The following is a 21,860-nucleotide window of genomic DNA, read 5'->3' as shown; positions in this document are numbered from 1 at the left end:
TGTAATTTCAGTGTTCTGCTTTGAGATTTTACCATTCTGTGATTCCAACATTTTAAGCTTCCTGAATCAGGATTACAGCACCTCATGATCCCATCTTTCTAAAATTCCAGTCCTGTGGTTCCAACACCTTAAGATGTCAACATTCTAAGCTTACATCTTTCTGACTTGCCCAGCACTGGGGAGGGCCATCCGCATCCAGCCGAGTACCCTACCTGGTGTCACTTTCTGGGGTCACCTGCTCTACTACTTCCATCTGAGGAGCAGCGAAGGCTGGGAGAGAAGCTAGAGAGGAGGTTCTCATGAGCCAGGCCCTCAGCTGCCAGTTGCTCCTCAGTCTGCCAAGTCCTGAAGCCTCCTCTGGGGCCCCTTGGTCCCTGTTCCCTCCGAGCCCACGAAGACCTTGGCTCAGTTGAGCACTTGCTGTGTGACTTCAAATATGCCCCTGCCCCTCTCTGGGCCTCAGGGTCTCCTGCCCCATGTGTCCTAGACGGACGAACCTAATGGGGCTCAGGGCCTGAGACTCCCTCTGATAACTAATTCCTGGGGTTGGTCCTCCAGAAGCCACGTTACGAGATCCGATGGAAGGTGATTGAGTCTGTGAGCTCTGACGGCCATGAGTACATCTACGTGGACCCCATGCAGCTGCCCTATGACTCCACGTGGGAGCTGCCGCGGGACCAGCTTGTGCTGGGTCAGTCCTGAGAGGCCTCATGTGGCAGTGTGGGGACTCAAGTTGGGTGGGAAGACTCTCTGAGGTCTGGTCCCAGCCTTGCCATGACTAGCTATGAGACCTAGGGCTGGTGTCTTGCCTTCTCTGGCCCTCCATCTCCTACTATGTACAATGAGAGCAAGACCATCCCCCAGGAACTGCCTAGCATTGAGGTTCTATGATCCTGTGACCCTGTGAGACGGGATCCCTATGTGGCAAAAGTGGAAGGATTGAGGACAGGCTGAGTAGCAGGCCTGGTCTGGCTGGGGAAGCTGAGGAGGTACAGAGAAGCGTGCTCCCTTGGGAGGGAAGAAACTTTCCAGAGATTAAAGATGGGGCAGAAAGCAGGCAGGACTTAGATGAGATACCAGGAAAGACAGGGAGGTATTGTGGTTGCAGGAGTGTGTTTAGGGAATATCCTGAGTCCAAGGTGGTTTAAGTAATGTCTAGGTTGACCTAAGAGAGTGGCTCTTTCCCCTCACTGGGCAGGAAGGGTGATAGCGGCCGGGGGTAGGGGAGTGGGGGGAGGGGGGCAGCTGGGGGAGCGGTGCAGCTTCCTGGTAGGCCAGGAGCTAATGGATCATCTCTGCACCAGGACGCACCCTCGGCTCTGGGGCCTTTGGGCAGGTGGTGGAGGCCACGGCTCATGGCCTGAGCCATTCTCAGGCCACGATGAAAGTGGCCGTCAAGATGCTTAAATGTGAGTAGTCCTTGGAGCCCTCCACATCTGGGCCTTCACCTCTCCCTGCCCCTCCCCACACACTTAGCCTCTCCCAGGGTGGCCTGATGCTGATTTGCAGGCACTAGAGGGGCCATCACACTGCAGCAGGCACTGCTCCCGAGTCTGGGTCTGGTTTGGGAAAGAGCGTTCCTCTCCCTGGCCTCCTCGGCCTGCTTCCCCCTACCCTGGCCTCTTCCCCTCCTCAGAGTGTGGGTGCTCACCCCCGCCAGGCTGCCTGGGTCTTGCAGCACAGGGCGGGGCAGAAGAGTCAGAATAGGCTCCTGTGGTGGGGCCTCCATGGAGCCTCCATGACTGGGCCTGGCCTGGGGCCCCCATTTTCCTCAGCCACAGCCCGCAGCAGTGAGAAGCAAGCCCTTATGTCGGAGCTGAAGATCATGAGTCACCTTGGGCCCCACCTGAACGTGGTCAACCTGTTGGGGGCCTGCACCAAAGGAGGTACCGAGCCCACTGCCCCAGAGGCCTCAGGGAAAGTGCCCACCACCAAGGCCAGGCCCCGCCTACCCCCCCCTCAGGCCTTGCACAACAGCACACTCCTGCTGGAGGGTCCGTGCCCACCCGCTCCAGCGCCCTCACTGCGCGGTCCCAGAGGGCGGTGGGGTTTAGAAACTCACAAAATCACAACACCTTCAAGGCTGAAGGATTAGTCAGGTCACCAGTCCCAGCAGCTTCCAGACCATGGTGTTGGCTGACACTTTTTTATTTTCCCAATACATTTTGAAAACCAATAAATAACAGCTCACATGACATTAAGATGAGTTATATGCCCACCATTGGAGACCACCAGCTTGCTACTTGGGAGCTACCTTCATTTGATCATAGAAGAAAGTCTCTGTGGCCAACTGGGTCTATTTGAAGCTCTGATTGCCAGTTAGGCTGAAAAAAAATGTTATCACCATTTGCAGCTGCTTATTGTGAGATTTGGGATTTTCCTCAGCATTATGCAACCAAAATAAAATACAGAAGTATGTTGGGTACATAGACTTATTCACGTTTGCAATGATCGCTCATTTCAACATTTTCGTTTGTGTAGATATCTTCAAGTTCTCACTGATTGACTTTAAGTAAATGCATTGTAGTTGAATTTAACTACTAAAGTGATCGTTGTAAACAGTGGCCTTTATCTGCTTTCTATACTGGGCTCCAAAGTAAGCTTTAGTTTGAAAACATATCAATAAGAGCCAACACTGCGAGCTCGCCACGTGCCCAGCCAATAAAGACATCATCTCATTAATCCTCATGACAGTGCTTTGTGGTGGGTTTAATTAGCCCCACTTAACAGCTGGGGAAGGTAAGGCTCAGGGAGACTAAGTACCTTGCTCTCCACCACAGAGGCAGGAAAAGAATCCAGATTTGCAAGGCACTAAAGCCTCCTAGCCGTCATGCCAAAGTGTCTCTCCCACATCCAGCCCCTGATTAGCCTCATGGCCTTGAAGGGACGCCTGAGGCCTCCATAGGGACTGTCCCTGAGCCTGTCCCTCTGCAGGACCCATCTATATCATCACTGAGTACTGCCGCTACGGAGACCTGGTGGACTACCTGCACCGCAACAAACACACCTTCCTGCAGCACCACTCCGACAAGCGCCGCCCGCCCAGCGCGGAGCTCTACAGCAATGCTCTGCCCGTTGGGCTCCCCCTGCCCAGGTACCAGGAGGGAGGCCAGGGACTGAATCTTTGGGATACCTGAGGAGCACCGCTCCTTCCCCTCCTTTTGTCCAGGAGGGGAAGCTGAGGCTGTGACAGGGCAGGGGACAGAATCACTCCTGGAGCTAGGGCTGTTCCACAAGATGGTCCACCCCAGATGAGGGAATAACACTAATGCCAGGCCCTGTGCTGCTAAGCCCTCTACAGATGTGACATGCCATCCCTGTGTCGTGGGTGTTTGCCCTTCAGTCCAGGGCAGGCAGTGATGGAGGAAGGGGCAGAGGCTGTGGTGAGATGAGAGCCAAGCCTCCCAATTTGCACAGTGGTGCTCCAGGCTGTGTTCCTCTCTGCAGCCTCTACACATCAGCCTCCACACTGCCTCTCAGGGAGCTCAACTCCAGTCTTTGTCTTTTCCAAAAAGAACACTTCTTAGTTCTGTTGCTGATTACAAAAACAAAGACAAGAGTAGCTTCAGAAAAGCGTAAAAGACCTTAAAACCCACTCATGTCCTCTCCAATGTTTTGACATTCAGTCTCCCAGGAGCCAAAGGGCTTCTCCCATCTTTTTCCTGCCTATAGAGACAGATGTGTGTAGAGCCCCACAGCTCTTTGGGGAGCTGATGCTACAGGCATAGGTAGCGGGGTGAATCCTGGCTGCCTATGCTGGGTTGCAGTCAGGCACTCCCATGGCCAGGTGGCGCTGGGGAGGCCACAGGAAGGCGCCTCTGAACACACCCGTCTTGTGACCTTTGCCCTGGGGTGCTGTAATCGCCTCTGGGTGTGAGCTCTCTGGGTTCTAACTGTCATTTTGGTAGCCTCAGTGCCCAGCTTGGCCCAGCAGGTTGGTTGAAAAGTCTTGATCCACAGGCTTTCCTACTGGGATAGACTGAAGGAAGATGAGTGAGTGTGTGAGTGAGAGAAGAAATTCATGAGTGGCAAGGGGCAGGAGGGGAGGGGAAGGCAAAGCCTGCAGGCTCTCCTGTGATGCTCCTTTACCCCCAGCCATGTGTCCTTGACCGGGGAGAGCGACGGTGGCTACATGGACATGAGCAAGGACGAGTCGGTGGACTATGTGCCCATGCTGGACATGAAAGGAGACGTCAAATATGCAGACATCGAGTCCTCCAACTACATGGCCCCTTACGATAACTACGTTCCCTCTGGTGGGTGGACATAGTGACATAGTACCCCACATCCAAACAGGCTGATGCTCTTCACATGCCCAGCCTTGCCAAAAACCCTGAGAAGAAGGGAGCCTCGTGCCCATTTCATAGATGTAGAAATTGAGGCTAGCCACCTGGCCAAAACTGATCTGTAGTGGACCCCTAAACGGAAGCCCTGTTTATGGATCCGGAAACATGCGTAGAACCCTCAGGGAGGGAGAGAGCAGGGATATGGGAGGACCTGGCCTTTTGTCGTGGTAGGGAAAGTGATCTACTCAGCTTCAGCCCCAGGCTGGTCTAGTGTCCCTGAGAGGCAGGCAGGCAGGCCAGGCTGGGCAAAAGTGGCCCAAGGGCTAATGCCAAAAGGCCAATGAGGGCACTGATAAAGCAGGAGAACTTTGAGTTTGATATTAAGAAATCATTCTCCTTTTAGGGGAGACCTAGACGATCAGTAGCCACCTGTCTTGGACATTCAGTCTCCCAGGAGCCAAAGGGCAGGGGTCCTGTGGGCCAGAAGGAGATATAAGATAGCAGGTGACCCTCTGCTTCTCCTCTAGCCCCTGAGAGGACCTGCCGAGCAACTTTGATCAACGAGTCTCCAGTGCTAAGCTACATGGACCTCGTGGGCTTCAGCTACCAGGTGGCCAATGGCATGGAGTTTCTGGCCTCCAAGAACGTACGTGTGGTGTTGGTGGGGCAGAGTGGGGGCTGTGGGGAGGTGGGTCACCCAGCCAGCCAGCATCCTCCAAGAGCACACCAGGGTGGCCTCTCGCACATGGGCAGTGTTGTATTTTCCCAAAGCCCTTGACATGAAGGGTCTTTCCCCACAATTGTCCCCAAGGCCTCAGCTCCCCTCTCCCCAAACCCAGTGCGTCCACAGAGACCTGGCGGCTAGGAACGTGCTCATCTGTGAAGGCAAGCTGGTCAAGATCTGTGACTTTGGCCTGGCTCGAGACATCATGCGGGACTCGAATTACATCTCCAAAGGCAGCGTGAGTACCTTCCCTGGCCCCTGCAGGGCAGTCACAGTGCCTGTGACCGCAGGAACAGATTCCCTCCTGACCAGTGTGGCTGCAGCTCATAGGAAATCTGTGTGGGGCTCCTTGTGGCCTGCCCTGACAGCAGTGATGGGCTGTGCCTGCCCAGCTATGTGTGCAGGGACAGGATGGGGAGCCGCCCAGGAGTGCATGGAGCAAGTATAGCGGCGGGGAGGGCTGGCTATAATGGGTCCAGGGTGGGGGAAGGGGGAACAGGCCGAATGTGTTGTTCCAGTGGTGGTGGGCAGAGGAAGAAGCCCAGGTGACAGGGCAAGAAAGATGAGCAGGTCACATGCAGTAGCAGGGATTGGTCTGGTTAAAACGTGATCATCCTGCCTGTCTCTCATCTCCCCACTTTTCCGCAAACCCCAGATGGAGGGACGCTAGGCCCAGAGATCAAAGGCAGCCAGGATAAGAGCTTGGGGGGTGCCTTGACAAGTCCCTGGCTCCCACACTTCACTACTCAGACCCTGGGGCTTTTCCCCAGGGACAGGGGCTGCCTTGTCCCCAGCTAGTGAGAAAGGAAACAGCCTCTGGTCCTCTGACCAGCCCTGGGATGGACATGGGAACTGTGCTGCGCAGAGACCAGGGCCCTCACAGGGAATGGGACGGAGAAGTGGTTGTGGGTGGGAGCTGCCAGATACCCTCCTCCCATCCCAGGTGCAGAGTGGGGCTGAGGTCCTTCCTTGCACTCAGCACCTGTCCTGACCTCCCTACAGACCTTTTTGCCTTTAAAGTGGATGGCTCCGGAGAGCATCTTCAACAGCCTCTACACCACCCTGAGCGACGTGTGGTCCTTCGGGATCCTGCTCTGGGAGATCTTCACCTTGGGTATGCTTGCTTCCTCCTCCAGCCCTCAGCATCCTGGCCTGGTGTCTACCTCGACCACTCATGCCTCTGGCCTGGTGGGGCTATGGGACGAGCCCTGATACAGGGATCCTGGTTCAGGTCCCAGCTCTGCTACCTTCTCCCTGCTGTGTGATGTTAGCAAATTCTTTGCCCTCTCTGGGTCTCTTTATCTCCCTGTCTGAGCATTGACAGGTTTGAACAGTGACATCAGAAAGCCTGCTTGGCTCTCACATTCTGGCTGTCTATCCTGGGGAGGGTTGTGGTCTCTGTTCAGAGCCCATGAAGGAGCCCACAGTTCCAAATGCCAGGGGCACTGCCCCCTTACCCATACCAGGGCCAGCATGGCTCTCCTTGTCCTGTAGAAGAGGGTGCCCTGCCACTTTTCCACCCCTGAGCCTGTGTATCTCTTGTCTCTGCTCCCCAACAGGTGGCACCCCTTACCCAGAGCTGCCCATGAACGAGCAGTTCTACAATGCCATCAAACGGGGTTACCGCATGGCCCAGCCTGCCCATGCCTCCGACGAGATGTGAGTGGAGTCTCATGCATTTGGGAGGATTTTGTGCTGCAAACAATAGATATCCAACTCTACTGGCTTAAACCAAAGATGAGAGATTTGTTAGCTCAGAGATCTAGAAAGCCTTGGTGTAACTGGATCCAGCCATTCAAAGGATGGCATCAGGAACCTCTTGTTCTAGCCCTGAGCTCTGCTTTGCTCTGTGTGGCCTCATTTTCAGGCCAGCATTGCCCAAATGGCTACCAGCAGTGCCAGTCTCATGTCCTACTGCTTGCTCCATAGTGCCAGCAAAAGTCCCAGAGCTGACCTTCAAGGGCTCAGGTGGGGTCACATGCCATCAAGAACCAACCGTGGAAGCTGCAGGGCTGAAAACTGTTGGCGAAGGTTGGCTCCTGTGCTCACCCAGGCGTAGTCAACCTGTGGAACCATGTGGAATGGGGGCTCTGCGAGGGCCTCCCAAGGGAATATCCAGAGACAGGACCTCTGGATACACCCAGCCACCACTTCCCTCCAGCTCCTTTCCATGGCTCACCTTGTTCTGAGAGGCAGCAGCCTCCTGCTCCCCCAGCCCTGCCTTGTCCCCTGAACCCTGGGCCAGAGGCCCTGACCCTTCTCCCTATCCCCAGCTATGAGATCATGCAGAAGTGCTGGGAAGAGAAGTTTGAGATTCGGCCCCCCTTCTCCCAGCTGGTGCTGCTTCTCGAGAGACTGTTGGGCGAAGGTTACAAAAAGGTATGTTGAGGCAGGGTAGGGGTGGAGCACGGAGAGCTCTGGTGCAGAAGTCAGACACCGAGTACAAGGCTCTGCGTGATGGGCTGGCATTTAGGGGACCACCCTTTGTCCTCTCTGGGCCTCAGTTTCCCTGCTGGTTCTAGGAGGGGATGGGCTGGCGCTGTGAGTTTATTTTAGCAGCAGAGAGCTTTATGAAATGGAATCCTACATGGAAGCTGATCGATTAGATGCAGGGAGGGGGCCTAGAGCACTGTCTGTCCTGCTGCCTCCCTCAGGCCTTTACCTCCATACCGAACCGTGGGGCTCCTTCAGAAGTGTGAATAACCCCAGGTTACATGACCATGAACCGCCTGACCACTTGGATCCTGTCACAGGATTGTCCAAGGCCCAAAGAGCCAGTAGGGCCCTGAAACCCTGCCCCGTCCAACAACACGGGTCCAAGTGAGGAGGAAATACACATGGCCTTTGACACAGAGGCAGCTCCTTCTTTGGGTCCATTTCTCACCCCCACTGCCCCCCGGGGATGGTCCCAGGGACCTGGGAGATGGAGTAAGGTCATCACCACTTCACAGCAAAGGAAACTGAGGCCCTGAAGAAGGACGCTGAGGCAGCATGAGAGCCTGTGCCTGTCTGCTCTGAAGTGGGGGAAGAGTTAGAGTCCTGGGTGCTGGTCTGATAACTGCCCCTCCCTGGGTGGTCCTGAGCTCACCATGCCTTGTAAGATTCTATGTGAGGTAGGAGGGCAGCTCAACCATGTGGCTTGGGCAAATCCCTTTCCCCTCTGAGCAGCGGGGGTCTTATTTATACAAAGGGGGATGGGCTCGGTTAGAAGATCCCTGAAGGCATTTCTGGCCTGACCATCCCTGTTTCTTTGGTTCTCCCTGCCCCGGGAGCAGAAGTACCAGCAGGTGGATGAGGAGTTTCTGAGGAGTGACCACCCAGCCATCCTTCGGTCCCAGGCCCGCTTGCCTGGGTTCCATGGCCTCCGATCTCCCCTGGACACCAGCTCCGTCCTCTATACTGCCGTGCAGCCCAATGAGGGTGACAACGACTATATCATCCCCCTGCCTGACCCCAAACCCGAGGTTGCTGACGAGGGCCCACTGGAGGGTTCCCCCAGCCTAGCCAGGTAACCACCCTGGCCTGGGGCCAAGGAAATTGTGCACAGTGTGTGTGTGTGTGTGTGTGTGTGTGTGTGTGTGCGCGCGCGCGCGCGCGCTGCCAGGTTTGCCTCAGAGGTAAGTTACGTAGGGTAAGTACTTATCCCTACCAATGAATAGAAGACAGAATGGAACTCATTTGAACTTTGATGCCCTGAGGTGGAAAGGGCAGGCTAGTAAAAACAAAAGTATGGGCTGGGACTTACTTGCAAGGTAGCTATTTCCTTTAAGGGAGCCCCCAGAGGTTATCTATACTCTCTTATCTCTAGGTCCTGTCCTAGCCCCAAAAAGAAGAAGCAAACCTACTTAGCATCCCCAGCACCCCAGCTGTTACTCATGGCCAGCCTGAGGCCTATGTTCTGTTCTTCAGCACCACGCCCTGGGGCCAGAGGGAGCCTGCTTGGTTGTAGGAGTCAGAGGTGCCTAAAGGAATTCAGGACAGAATTCAGACTGGGAAGGAGATTCGTGGTTTTCTTTTGCCTTGGGAAGTGGTGAAGTTACAGCCCAGAGGGGGCTTTATAGGAGGACCCTGCTGTTGTGTGGACTTGATGTCCACGCAGGATCTCCCCTTAACTGGAGAGAAGGGCTCCCCATGAGGCCACGCCCACCTCCAAAGCGAGATCCAGCCCAAGGTGAAGTGGCTGGAGCCCCAGGCTGGGGTACTGTCCCAACTCTGCCACTAGCCGCTGAGACCTGGGAAGGCTTCTCCTCTGCGAGCCTCAGTTTCTCCATATGTGCCAGGAGTGCACACCGGCCTTAGAAGGCTCCGAAGGCCCTCATTGCTCTAACTGTTGAAGAGGCCAACCATCCAAGAGTCCCAGTGGATGGTGCAGAGGAGTGAAGTGCAGCGCTCACACAGCTTGAGGTGTGAATGCTCACCCTGTTTTGTGCCCTCAGACAAGCTGCTTCACTGTCTAAACATTGGTGTCCTCTTCTTTTTTTTTTTATTATTTTTATTCATTTATTTATTTATTTTTGAGATGGAGTTTCGCTCTTGTTGCCCAGGCTGGAGTGCAATGGCGCGATCTCGGCTCACTGCAACCTCCACCTCCCAGGTTCAAGCAATTCTCCTGCCTCAGCCTCCCGAGTAGCTGGAATTACAGGCATGCAGCACCACGCCTGGCTAATTTTGTATTTTTAGTAGAGTTGGGGTTTCTCCATGTTGAGACTGGTCTCAACCTCCTGACCTCAGGTGATCCGCCTGCCTCGGCCTCCCAAAGTGCTGGGATTACAGATGTGAGCCACCACGCCCGGCCAGTGTCTTCTTCTGTAAAATACAAACAGTAAAAGTACTTCTATTAGGCGGTCATTGCAAGGATTAAATGAGATAGCATACACCTTTAGGAGTGCAGAGGAGGGAGATGCTGGTGGGTGAGAAACGAGCTTTGGAGCCAGCTGACCCTGCTCCGAAGTTCCAGCTCCTGCACTTCCCTGCTGTGTGAAGTGGGGCAGTGATATAACCTCTCTGAGCCACACTTTCCTCACGGTGCAGGCCTTGCATAGTTTTCACAAGAGTTAAATGAGCCGGAGTGTGTGAAGCCTACGGTGCAGGGGTGGACACACCGAAGGCTCTTCATGACTGCTGCTGGAATCCTCCTGGGCTCCTTCCTAGCCCCTCACTCACTGCCTCTTTCCTCTAGCTCCACCCTGAATGAAGTCAACACCTCCTCAACCATCTCCTGTGACAGCCCCCTGGAGCCCCAGGACGAACCAGAGCCAGAGCCCCAGCTTGAGCTCCAGGTGGAGCCGGAGCCAGAGCTGGAACAGTTGCCGGATTCGGGGTGCCCTGCGCCTCGGGCGGAAGCAGAGGATAGCTTCCTGTAGGGGGCTGGCCCCTACCCTGCCCTGCCTGAAGCTCCCCCCCTGCCAGCACCCAGCATCTCCTGGCCTGGCCTGACCGGGCTTCCTGTCAGCCAGGCTGCCCTTATCAGCTGTCCCCTTCTGGAAGCTTTCTGCTCCTGACGTGTTGTGCCCCAAACCCTGGGGCTGGCTTAGGAGGCAAGAAAACTGCAGGGGCCGTGACCAGCCCTCTGCCTCCAGGGAGGCCAACTGACTCTGAGCCAGGGTTCCCCCAGGGAACTCAGTTTTCCCATATGTAAAATGGGAAAGTTAGGCTTGATGACCCAGAATCTAGGATTCTCTCCCTGGCTGACAGGTGGGGAGACCGAATCCCTCCCTGGGAAGATTCTTGGAGTTACTGAGGTGGTAAATTAACTTTTTTCTGTTCAGCCAGCTACCCCTCAAGGAATCATAGCTCTCTCCTCGCACTTTTATCCACCCAGGAGCTAGGGAAGAGACCCTAGCCTCCCTGGCTGCTGGCTGAGCTAGGGCCTAGCCTTGAGCAGTGTTGCCTCATCCAGAAGAAAGCCAGTCTCCTCCCTATGATGCCAGTCCCTGCGTTCCCTGGCCCGAGCTGGTCTGGGGCCATTAGGCAGCCTAATTAATGCTGGAGGCTGAGCCAAGTACAGGACACCCCCAGCCTGCAGCCCTTGCCCAGGGCACTTGGAGCACACGCAGCCATAGCAAGTGCCTGTGTCCCTGTCCTTCAGGCCCATCAGTCCTGGGGCTTTTTCTTTATCACCCTCAGTCTTAATCCATCCACCAGAGTCTAGAAGGCCAGACGGGCCCCGCATCTGTGATGAGAATGTAAATGTGCCAGTGTGGAGTGGCCACGTGTGTGTGCCAGTATATGGCCCTGGCTCTGCATTGGACCTGCTATGAGGCTTTGGAGGAATCCCTCACCCTCTCTGGGCCTCAGTTTCCCCTTCAAAAAATGAATAAGTCGGACTTATTAACTCTGAGTGCCTTGCCAGCACTAACATTCTAGAGTATTCCAGGTGGTTGCACATTTGTCCAGATGAAGCAAGGCCATATACCCTAAACTTCCATCCTGGGGGTCAGCTGGGCTCCTGGGAGATTCCAGATCACACATCACACTCTGGGGACTCAGGAACCATGCCCCTTCCCCAGGCCCCCAGCAAGTCTCAAGAACACAGCTGCACAGGCCTTGACTTAGAGTGACAGCCGGTGTCCTGGAAAGCCCCCAGCAGCTGCCCCAGGGACATGGGAAGACCACGGGACCTCTTTCACTACCCACGATGACCTCCGGGGGTATCCTGGGCAAAAGGGACAAAGAGGGCAAATGAGATCACCTCCTGCAGCCCACCACTCCAGCACCTGTGCCGAGGTCTGCGTCGAAGACAGAATGGACAGTGAGGACAGTTATGTCTTGTAAAAGACAAGAAGCTTCAGATGGGTACCCCAAGAAGGATGTGAGAGGTGGGCGCTTTGGAGGTTTGCCCCTCACCCACCAGCTGCCCCATCCCTGAGGCAGCGCTCCATGGGGGTATGGTTTTGTCACTGCCCAGACCTAGCAGTGACATCTCATTGTCCCCAGCCCAGTGGGCATTGGAGGTGCCAGGGGAGTCAGGGTTGTAGCCAAGACGCCCCCGCACGGGGAGGGTTGGGAAGGGGGTGCAGGAAGCTCAACCCCTCTGGGCACCAACCCTGCATTGCAGGTTGGCACCTTACTTCCCTGGGATCCCCAGAGTTGGTCCAAGGAGGGAGAGTGGGTTCTCAATACGGTACCAAAGATATAATCACCTAGGTTTACAAATATTTTTAGGACTCACGTTAACTCACATTTATACAGCAGAAATGCTATTTTGTATGCTGTTGAGTTTTTCTATCTGTGTACTTTTTTTTAAGGGAAAGATTTTAATATTAAACCTGGTGCTTCTCACTCACAGACTTTGTGGTCTCTCTCGGGTTTGGGTTCCTGCCCATAGGGAGTGTGGAGTGGGGCACATGAGGCTCACCCAGACGCAGACCCCCAGACAGGTCCCTTCAGCTCTGAGTCTCATTTCATTCATCTGTAAAGTGGGGATTTTCGCTCTCCCACCCCTCGCTGGAAGCTGGGGGGCCTAGACCTTGGGCTTGGTTTCCCAAGGTGGGAAGCGAGCAGGCTTTTCTGGCTCCACAGAGCCTGGCCTTGAGTCGGGCAGGAGGGTGTGGGGCTGCAGGGCTGCTCCAAGGCTCTGGTGCTGAGGCGTCTCACTGCCTCCACCATGTGCTTTGGCTTTGGCTATCAGCTGGGACACCCTCCCCTCCACTCCGCCCACAGGCCCGGATTGAGGCCGGCGTGCTCTGTGACAGGCAGCTGCTAGAGCCCAGATTCCAGGTCCAGGTGAGTCATGATCAGGCCCCAGGTAGGAGAAGGGCAGACAGAGTGTCCAAAAGCGTGAGAGCACGAAGTGAGGAGAAGGTGGAGAAGAGAGAAGAGGAAGAGGAAGAGGAAGAGAGGAAGCGGAGGGAACTGCGGCCAGGGTAAGGACAGGGGAGGGAATAGGGTGGCGACCAGGCTGTGGCTTTGAGGGCAGAGAGGTGTAGACCTGGCAGGACCCAGACCCCTCACGGCTGCAGCATCTCAGGGGTTGTGGGGCCGGCATGAGTCATAGGCTCTCCTGCCGAGCCCAGGCCTGTGGGACCCCGGCAGCAACACAGGGCCAGGGGCAATAGGGTTGCTGGGGGCAGGGGACAGAGTGCTAGGGCCCTCCCACCTGGGCCCAGAGTCCTGTACTTGGCTCACTTGAGGTGGACCAGATGTCAGCCTCAGATCCATCACTGTGTGTCCTTAGCCCCTCCCTTGCTCTCTCTGAGCTGGGGAAACGGCATCTTCATTTGAGTGGGTGCGGGAAGGACCTCATTTTGGAACCACAGGCCTCCCTGGACTGCCTCCAGGAGTCTGGGGCTGTGGCTTCAAGTGGGGAAAAGAATGGAGCCATGGGACAGCTCTGACTCACAGGCCCAGCCGCCAACTCAGGGGCAGCTGAGCCACACCAGGGAAAATACCCGACGGCTATAAGGCCTGGCCATACAAAGCCCACCATCCCAGGGATCCTGGCTTCAGAAAACACCCAGAGCCTGTGACTTCTCTTCTAGCTGTGGCAGGAGTTGAATGAGGTGATACCCGGATCTGCCTTGTAAAGAAAATAACTAGCCCACATTCCAGACAGGGATTATCTTTGCTGGTGCAAAAGCCTCTGTCTGGAGGTCAGAAGATCTCAGCTCCCTGTGTCTCAGGCCTGCTCCTTATGGGAACTTGAGTGGATTACACCACATCAGGCCTCAGTTTCCCCAGGGATAAATGGAGCTAGATGCCACACTAAGACAAAGGTTGATAAAAATCTGACTACCACTATCCAACAGTTACTATGCCCCAGGGCTGTCTGGTTGCTTCACACACATTAGCTCATTTTACCCTCCCAAAAGCCCAGTGACCTGAGTCCTACTATTATCCCATGTTACAGATGAGACACCAGTCCAAGCTGTTGTTGTTTTGTTTGTTTTTGTTTTTCTAGTTAAAGAAGTTTATTCAAGGGCAAAGTGTGAGGGTAGTCGTCAGGAAACAGGAAAACCAGAGAATGGTGATCAGTGCTTCCCTGTGTGGGGCAAGGTGAGGATGGTTTATATAGCCAGAAACGGGTGGGTAACACAATTACATTTTCCATACAAAGGTTAACGTAGAGCTACAAGATTTGATTGGCTACTATTGACTACACTTTAAGGGGGCTGCTTAACACTCATTTGTAAAGAGGTAATGATCACCAGCGTGTCATTTAGTCCAGGTTTGAATAAAGAATGGGGAGCCCGGTTAAAGTATAACATTCTCAACACAAAAATCAAGAGGCAATGGTCAGAGAGCAGTCCTGTGATGTGACTCAGTTTCCAGGGCTTAACTTTTCCCATTGGCATAATGAATTGGGGAGCTCCTGAAATTTTATTTTATTTTCACAATTTTGATTTGCATTCAAACCAAATCAAATGTGCATTCAGGGAGGTTTTGAAGTGACTTGCCCAAGATCATCTGGTCAGTGTGGCAGGGATGGGAGAGGAGCCCAGGTCAGACTGACTCCCAAGTCAGCACTCAGGGAGGTAAAGCACCCACCCAAATTTGCAGAGCTAGGGACTGGGGAAGCCTGCGACAAAACTCCTATCTTCTGTCTCCAGACCTTCTGGTACTGTGTTTCCCCAAGAGAAAGGATAGGAAAGGACTGGATGAGAAAGGAAAGCTAACATCATCTGAGAGCTAGAGAAAAATAATAAAAACTCATTTGTGGGAGGGCTTGGGCCTCTCAGGCCCCTGTGCAGAGGGCAGGCAGGGTCTGGGGTAACCACAGGTCAGCCCCTGCTGGGCTCCTGCCTCCCAGTCTCTCCCCTCAGGCGGGCCCAGGGAAGACGGGTGAGCTGGGATTTTCCTCCCAGACAGATGAGCCACTTGGACTGCACAATTCTTCCGCCACCCCACTCACGGCCGGGGTTCTTGTTCCTGGAAAAAGAGGGAAAGACTGAAAGGAGCTATTTCTGCCGGGGCCCTGACCTGCAGCTGATGAGGGTCTCACAGCTCCCATTCACGTCCCTTCTTCTTTGAATCAGGGCACCGTCTCTAACAGGCCCCTTTTATTTTAGTTATAATGTTCGGTTTTGCAATTAAAAATTATTTTTAATGGGCATCAGGATATTTCCTTCTGTCTTTGAATATGCCTTTTGTTTCTAATTTGTGCAACTATAACTTCACGTGAACCTCATGGATTCTGGCTTAGGCAAGTGGCTTCTATGTAATTAGCAGTGATTCCATCTTAATAAGGTCCTGTGATCTGACAAAAAAAAAAAAACTACTTGATACAAGTATTTATGTCATATATGCCTGTATTTAAAAATCCATTACCAAAATACATAATATAGAAAGAGAAGGTCTTCTTTGAGTATTTTTATATGTTAAATGCAGTAACATTTTAAATCTTTATTCTCTTTATTCAGCAACTCTGTGGTACAAATTTATCTTGTTGAAATTCTGCCTCTCACTATAAATAGTTTAGTTATATTTTTCAAAGTTGTTTTCTTTATATCCATACTAATATTTGTATCTGTACCTATCTACATAGAATATAGCTATAATCTTCAACAAAACTCCCATTTGTCATTGTGCAACTTTTTGTTTTTCACTTAACAATATATCATGGGCATACTCATAGGTCCATGGGAAATACAGATATTAATGCATTCATTTTGAGAGATGCACATAGTTTAAAAGCAAGCCTGTGCCAGACATTATTTAACCAATGTCAGAAATGCAAAATGCTTGTTCCCCAGTGCCACAAAGAAATAGCACTCGAACATAAATTTAATTTCCTCAGCAAGGCAATTTTTACTTTCTGCAGAGAGGGTGCTCCTGGCAGATGGAACAATGGCGAGAGCACACCTTGACAGGGGAGGGGAAGAGGTTCTTATTCCTGACACAGGCAGCCTCTACTGCTGCATTGTTCCCCTATTGGCTAGGGTTGGACCGCATAGTCTAAGCTAATTCCAATTGGCTATTTGAAAAAAAAGAGCAGGAGCATGAGCTGGAGTGCCGGGGTGAGTAGTTTGGTGGGAAAGGTGGATACGAACAGGTGGCTCAGGATGAGTCAGGATGGAGCAGGTGACTCAGGTCAAAGCAGGTGACCAGGGGAACAGATGTGAACTGATTAGGACTGGTGGGAAAGTTGTTTACTGAAACCAGAAGCAAGGGGGCGAAGAGATCCAGGAAGTTAAACTTTAAAATGGAGAATCAAAGAATAAGAGAGCTGAACATATTGACATACTGATTCTTTGAAGAGAAACTTGGGGTTCACTATATTTAACACCAATCTCCTACTGAGGGGCATTTGGACTATTTCCCATTTTTTAGAGTTATAAGTTATGCTACAATGGCCATTATTTATAAAATATGTTTGTTTTTGCATATTTAAGTATTTGTTTCCATAGCATAAATTCCTAGACATTGAGTTGTTGAGTAAAGAGAATAAACATTTAAAATGTCACTGAAGTCTAAAAATTCCCTTTTAAGTACATATAGTGCCCTGGGCGGCTGAGAAAATCAAACATACAAACAACAGAAACAACGTTATTTAATTCTAGCTAAGTACTCTGGACTGGTGGAGGAAGTATGGACCCTCTTTGGTTTATTGAGAAAAGTCATAAGTGGGTGACAGAGAAGAGTTGAAGACAGAAATGCGCCAAGCTGAAACATTCTCCTTGGCATAACCAGAAACACCCAGAGGACTTGGCAAGGCAGGAAGCTTCCCACAGTGCCATTCAGTGCTGCTGCAGCTCTACTAATCCATCATCCCACATCTAGACAGGGCATCCCACCCGTCGGGAAACCCAGCCTTCCCTCACCGCCCTGCTCTGCCCCAGTCCCTCATGGTGTAGGGTGTGCTCCTACCAGTGGTCCCATCGGATCCTCACGATTAGCCTGTGAGAGGAGCCTCCAGATGAGGAGGTTGAGGCTCAGAGCCATCAAGTGGCTTGGCTACAGTCACTGCAGGGAGGCTCTTGCCTTCCAGCCTCCCTGCTCCTACCTTCCCCGGGGGTGTCTAGGTCCAGTTCCAGATCTCAGAGTGGCCAGCAGGCTGAGCCCTGGGGTCAGGGGCCAGCTGCCTACACAGAATGTGGCTCCTGGAATTTCTTGGGTGGTGGGGGGGGGGCGGGCTTCTCCTTGGGATGGGGTTCTGGGGCCGCTCTGGGCCATGAAAGTTTCCCACAGCTTGGAAGAAAATCTGCCACCACTGTGTAGGGGTCTGGCGAGGGACCATTGGCCTGGGGCAGGGACCTGGGGACATCACAGAAGCCGAACTGTCTCCCTGTACCACCCCCTCCCAGCTGGCTCTTCCCTCACCCACATGTTCTTGGCATACAGGTCTGCCCTCTCCAGCAGCTCCCACCCCCCACCTGCTCAGGGCTCCTCGCCTTCTCCTGCAGGGCTTCACAGCAGGCTGCCCTTGCCCAGCTCCCCTTTGCAGATCCACAGTCTCTGGTTTTAGATTTTGTGGGTCTTCACTGCAGGAACTAGAAAAGTCACAAACATGGGGAAGTAACACAGTTTCTGGAAAATCACAGAATTCTAAGTCCCTTTTTTCCCCTCTGAAGAGACAAGAGGGAAGCTTCCACATCTGAAAATTTTTCTTTTTCATTCTTGATCTTCCTGAAGCATAGTGATGGTCTTGGTGTTCCCTTGCTCAAACATCTTCAGTGGCTCCCCGTGGCCCAGCAAAGTCGAGACTCCTTCATGGAATCTTTAAGGCCCTCCCTGATCTGATTCCAACCTCTCCTACTGCCTCTCCCACATCTGCCCTCCAAGGTCCATCCACCTTGTGTGGGCCACTAGCTTCCTGACCTCTGCCCCTTTTTTTGGTGCTACCGTCACCACCTAGAATGCCCAGTCTTTTATAGCTGAAGGTCAAAGTCTTGCTCAAGCTTCCAGCCCAGCAAAAGCTACTTTCTCCAAGAAGCTTTCCTCATTCTTCAGCTGAAAATGATTTCTCTTCGCATTCCTTTGTCTGTGCCTCTTATGGGCCCTCACATCTGTTCAGCATTCTTAGCCTCCCATACCCTGTGCACTCTTACGCCTCCAGGCCTTTACTGTGCTGTTTCTCCTTCTTGGAACATTCCTTCCTCCTCCCTGTATCTCTCCCCCAACTCCTCACCCTTCTCACTTCCTCTCAACTCAGATAGGGCCTTCCTTGACTCTTCTCTCCGGTGATCCCAGGACATCTTGCAACTCCCCCAGTGGCCTGGTTCCTCTCCTGGCTCTGACAATAGGCTGTGAGTTGCAGAAGGGAGGGACCACAGCTGACCTGTTCACCACCATGTCCCCAGGGCCAGGGACAGTGATTGAGAAATATCTGTTGCATGCCCTTCACCTGCATTATTGTCTCACTGGATCTGAGTCAATAGCCCCTTCCCCATTTTACATAATGAAGAAACAAGGCCTTGAAAGGCCGGGGACCTGGCTGTGGTTAGGAGTGGGGAATGAATTCCTGGTCTATCTGGCTCCAAAGCCTAGGCTGTTCCCCTTTACCCTCGATCCTCCTGAGAGCCCCTGCCATTGATGAAAGACAGTGGTTGAACATGTGGGCTCTGGCTCTGGGTTCCAGGGTTTAAAACCCAGCTCTGCCACTTAGCTGTTTAACTCCAGGCAGGTTACTTACCATCTTTGAGCCTGTCTTTCTTCATCTGTAACATGGAGTAATTACAGCTTTCCCCTAAGGTGGCTGGGAGAATCAATGAGATGATCTGTGCAAATAGCTCAGTCCAGAGACTGGCATGAAGAGTGTGCCCAATGGATCAACCAGAACAGTCCTTCTTCATGCCCCTGTGTTAATGCAATTATTAATAGCACCCCTTCCAGTCTCAAAGGTTCCAAATTGGATGACAAATCATGTTAATGTCCATAGATGTCAGATATTATCAGCTGCACTGTATAACACCACTTAGCTACTTGCCTTACCTCCCACCAGGCGGTGAGGTCCCTGCATGCAGGAAAGTGCTCTGAGCCTTGGCCTTCCTGGGCCCAGAACAAGGCCTGACACATGAAGCATTTGCTGAATAAATTGCTTTTGGAGGGTGGAGAGCTTCTCCTTGCTCTTCATTTATTCATTCATTCATTGGATTGTTTATACATTTCTTCATGCATCTGGCATTGACTGAGCACTCATCTGCCAGGCAGGGCCAGGTGTAGAGGGTATAAAGAAGACCGGAAGGGAGACTGGCCCTACCAGGAAACTCCTGCTGCAGAACAAAGGGGTCAGAATGACATCACACCAATAACCACTCTCATAACTGTGCTTCTGTTGACAGCGAGAAGTGCCAGGAAACTCAGGGAGCCACGAGAGACTATAAGACAGGGACTCAGTCAGGCAAAGGGAGGCTTATGGGCCAGGTGGAAGCAGAAGTATGTGGAACAGGAAGAAGGAGTGTGGGGGTGTATGCAGGAGCTGCAAGTGTTCAGTACAGCAGGGAGGGTGGATGGAGAGAGAAGAGGCAGAGATCAGATTGCAAAGGCCCCTGTAAGCCCTGCTACAGGGTATGGCCTTGATCTGCTCTATGGAGCTGCAATAGTAATGGGAGCAAATACCCCATAGTACTCCAATTCAGACACTAGAGCTCAATCCTCAGGCCTAGAGATAGGTGTGGTCGAACCTTTGTGGTCCAGGGTCAAAGAGGAACCAGTTGCCAAATTGCCATTATTCTGTCTGGGTCCCTGGCTCCTAGCTTGGGCCCACTCCACTCTCTGGTGGGGAACCTCCTGGGTCCCAGGGCATGGGCTGCAGTTGGGGTTAACTGGGCAGGAGGGTGGGGGCTAAGCTGTCCTTGACCTGGGGTCTGGAGGTTCCAGGGTCCAGGAGTCAGGCAGGGAGATGAAAACTAGGCTCTCAGTATGTGAAGTGTGACATGGCCCACACATTTCTTCAGAGTTTCCTAATCCTTGGGCTGTCATGCAAACTCCTCTCAAAGTTCCTCTGCCACAGGAAGGGGTAATGTCAATCTGGGATTCTTGTTTGTCACCTTCCCGGCAGCATCACCAAGGCTTCCTCAGTCAGGGCTTACCCCACTGAGTCCCATGGCACTTCCCCACTCTGTGTCCACTAGCGGTCAGCACACCCACTGCTGGGGGAGGTCAGGATCGCCCTGTGCAGTGTGCTGGTCATTAGCGTAGGCTCTGCAGCCAGGCTGCCTGCTTCCAGTCTCAGCTCTGTCATTCCCTGGCTCTGGGACTTTGGGCAAGTGAACTAACCTCTCTGAGCCTTGGTTTCCTCATCGGCAAAATGGCGTAATTAATAGAATCAGCCTCATGTGTTAAAAGCACTAAATTAGATAAATATGGAAAGAGCCTGCTGTGGTGCCTGGCACATAAACAGCACTCAGAAAATATTAGGGAGTCCAGTGTGGTGGCTCACACATGTAATCTCAGCCCTTTGGGAAGCCAAGGCAGGAGGATCGCTTGATGCCAGGAGGAGTTTGAGACCAGCTGGAGCAACACAGTGAGACCCTGTCTCAACAAAAAGAAATAGAAAATTAGTCAAGTGGGCGGTGTGTGCCTGTAGTCCTAACTACTCAGGAGGCTGAGGCAGGAGGATTGCTTGAGCCCAGGAGTTTGAGGCTTCAGTGAGCTGTAACTCTGACACTGTACTCTAGCCTGGCAACAGAATGAGACTTGCCTATAAAAAAAGGGAAAAAGAAAAAAAAGAGGCCAGGTGTAGTGGCTCACGCCTGTAACCCCAGCATTTTGGGAAGCCAAAACGGGCAGATCACTTGAGGTCAGGAGTTCGAGATCAGCCTCGCCAACATGGTAACCCCGCCTCTATTAAAAAAAAAAAAATATATATATATATATATATATTTTTTTTTTTTTTTTTGAGACAGAGTCTCTCTCTGTCACCCAGGCTGGAGTGCAGTGGCACAATGTTGGCTCACTGCAACCTCCGCCTCCTGGGTTCAAGTGATTCTCCTGCCTCAGCCTCCTGAGCAGCTGGGACTACAGCCACGTGCCACCACGCCTGGCTGATGTTTTGTATTTTTAGGAGAGACAGGGTTTCACTGTGTTAGCCAGGCTGGTCTCCATCTCCTGATCTCGTGATCCACCTGCCTGGGCCTCCCAAAGTGCTGGGATTATAGGTGTGAGCCACTGCACCCAGCCTCTGTCAAAAATATTAAAAAATTAGCTGGGCGTGGTGGTGGGTGCCTATAGTCCCAGCTACTCAGGAGGCTGAGGCAAGAGAATCACTTGAACCCAGGAGGTGGAGGTTGCAGTGAGCTGAGATCACGCCACTGCACTCCAGCCTGGGTGACAGAATGAAACTCCATCTCAAAAAAAAAAAGAACAAATGAACAAAAGAGTAAGGATTAGGCCTCTAAATGCCATTTTTTCCAGGAGGACAGAGTACCTTCCTACTCACGGGGCTTTGGCATACAGCATTCATTCATTAATTCATTCACTCTTCATACATCTAAAATCAGTGGATCAGAATGGTCAGGTATACCTGTACCATAGGAGGCAGAAATGCCCTCACCAGCTGTGTGATCTTGGGAAAGTGACTTAACTTCTCTGAGCCTTGGTTTGCTCTTCAGTAAAACAAGGATAATAACCACACCTACCTCTAGAGTTGAGGATTCAATGAGAAAATTCCAAAGAGCACTGGGCGTGCTGCCTTTCACATAGTGAGCACCTGATAAACCTTTGAAGCCTGCCATGCAAGGAAAATGCTGGGATGCGGTTGAGCCCAAAAGGCCTGGGATGCATAATAAGGATACCTGCCCATCTGGCAGGAACAGGGAGGCTTCCAGGAGGCAGCGAGTCTGAAGGAGCTATAGGAATTAGCTGGATGGATAGAAATGACAGGACAAGCAGCATCCTTTGATCGTGGGGACAGAGACAGGTCCTGCCAAGGTGGCCTAGGCCATCCCTCAGGACTACTGTAGCCTCCACCC

At 52.6% G+C, this 21,860-nt stretch overlaps 2 protein-coding genes across 7 annotated transcripts in view, besides 9 other annotated features; both read left to right on the top strand.

The window, feature by feature from the left end:
• PDGFRB (platelet derived growth factor receptor beta) overlaps positions 1–12,297 on the top strand; it is a 42,007-nt gene extending 29,710 nt beyond the window's left edge. For all 3 annotated transcript variants that reach the window (NM_001355016.2, NM_002609.4, NM_001355017.2), the window contains 12 exons: positions 559–691; positions 1,305–1,409; positions 1,776–1,886; positions 2,935–3,094; positions 4,096–4,256; positions 4,814–4,932; positions 5,126–5,248; positions 6,013–6,124; positions 6,570–6,669; positions 7,284–7,389; positions 8,286–8,518; positions 10,190–12,297. In NM_001355016.2, the coding sequence (NP_001341945.1) occupies positions 559–691; positions 1,305–1,409; positions 1,776–1,886; positions 2,935–3,094; positions 4,096–4,256; positions 4,814–4,932; positions 5,126–5,248; positions 6,013–6,124; positions 6,570–6,669; positions 7,284–7,389; positions 8,286–8,518; positions 10,190–10,373 (1,647 nt within the window). In that variant the 3' untranslated portion in view covers positions 10,374–12,297. The remainder of the gene's footprint in view (positions 1–558; positions 692–1,304; positions 1,410–1,775; positions 1,887–2,934; positions 3,095–4,095; positions 4,257–4,813; positions 4,933–5,125; positions 5,249–6,012; positions 6,125–6,569; positions 6,670–7,283; positions 7,390–8,285; positions 8,519–10,189) is intronic.
• Positions 4,821–5,728: an enhancer, noted in NCBI's record as "H3K27ac-H3K4me1 hESC enhancer chr5:149499971-149500878 (GRCh37/hg19 assembly coordinates)". NCBI's record gives its function as "activates a minimal SCP1, AML or CMV promoter by ChIP-STARR-seq in primed H9 embryonic stem cells {active_cell/tissue: H9 hESC(primed)}" and the evidence as "EXISTENCE:reporter gene assay evidence [ECO:0000049][PMID:30033119]".
• Positions 7,389–7,976: an enhancer, noted in NCBI's record as "H3K4me1 hESC enhancer chr5:149497723-149498310 (GRCh37/hg19 assembly coordinates)". NCBI's record gives its function as "activates a minimal SCP1, AML or CMV promoter by ChIP-STARR-seq in naive H9 embryonic stem cells {active_cell/tissue: H9 hESC(naive)}" and the evidence as "EXISTENCE:reporter gene assay evidence [ECO:0000049][PMID:30033119]".
• Positions 12,088–12,866: a promoter, noted in NCBI's record as "0.77kb promoter fragment". NCBI's record gives its function as "drives expression in BeWo chroriocarcinoma, Molt-4 lymphoid leukemia cells" and the evidence as "EXISTENCE:reporter gene assay evidence [ECO:0000049][PMID:1531036]".
• Positions 12,088–13,527: a biological region, named in NCBI's record as "CSF1R promoter E1". NCBI's record gives its function as "regulatory_interactions: CSF1R".
• Positions 12,711–12,758: a protein binding site, noted in NCBI's record as "AP-1/GRE element". NCBI's record gives its function as "mediates induction by dexamethasone" and the evidence as "EXISTENCE:protein binding evidence [ECO:0000024][PMID:11891846]".
• Positions 12,711–12,758: a protein binding site, noted in NCBI's record as "AP-1/GRE element". NCBI's record gives the evidence for it as "EXISTENCE:protein binding evidence [ECO:0000024][PMID:11891846]".
• Positions 12,771–21,860, top strand: part of CSF1R (colony stimulating factor 1 receptor) — a 60,071-nt gene continuing 50,981 nt past the window's right edge. For all 4 annotated transcript variants that reach the window (NR_164679.1, NM_001375321.1, NM_005211.4 and 1 more), the window contains exon 1: positions 12,771–12,875. The gene's annotated coding sequence lies outside the window, so the exon portion shown is untranslated. The remainder of the gene's footprint in view (positions 12,876–21,860) is intronic.
• Positions 12,778–13,527: an enhancer, noted in NCBI's record as "H3K27ac-H3K4me1 hESC enhancer chr5:149492172-149492921 (GRCh37/hg19 assembly coordinates)". NCBI's record gives its function as "activates a minimal SCP1, AML or CMV promoter by ChIP-STARR-seq in naive H9 embryonic stem cells {active_cell/tissue: H9 hESC(naive)}" and the evidence as "EXISTENCE:reporter gene assay evidence [ECO:0000049][PMID:30033119]".
• Positions 14,238–14,750: an enhancer, noted in NCBI's record as "H3K27ac-H3K4me1 hESC enhancer chr5:149490949-149491461 (GRCh37/hg19 assembly coordinates)". NCBI's record gives its function as "activates a minimal SCP1, AML or CMV promoter by ChIP-STARR-seq in primed H9 embryonic stem cells {active_cell/tissue: H9 hESC(primed)}" and the evidence as "EXISTENCE:reporter gene assay evidence [ECO:0000049][PMID:30033119]".
• Positions 15,796–16,090: a silencer, noted in NCBI's record as "tiled region #12786; HepG2 Repressive non-DNase unmatched - State 22:ReprW". NCBI's record gives its function as "represses a minimal TATA promoter and a strong SV40 promoter by Sharpr-MPRA in HepG2 cells {active_cell/tissue: HepG2}" and the evidence as "EXISTENCE:reporter gene assay evidence [ECO:0000049][PMID:27701403]".

The sequence above is a fragment of the Homo sapiens genome, chromosome 5 (genome assembly GCF_000001405.40).
Source record: "Homo sapiens chromosome 5, GRCh38.p14 Primary Assembly".
Classification (NCBI taxonomy): domain Eukaryota; kingdom Metazoa; phylum Chordata; class Mammalia; order Primates; family Hominidae; genus Homo; species Homo sapiens.
This window is presented reverse-complemented; position numbering and strand designations above follow the sequence as displayed.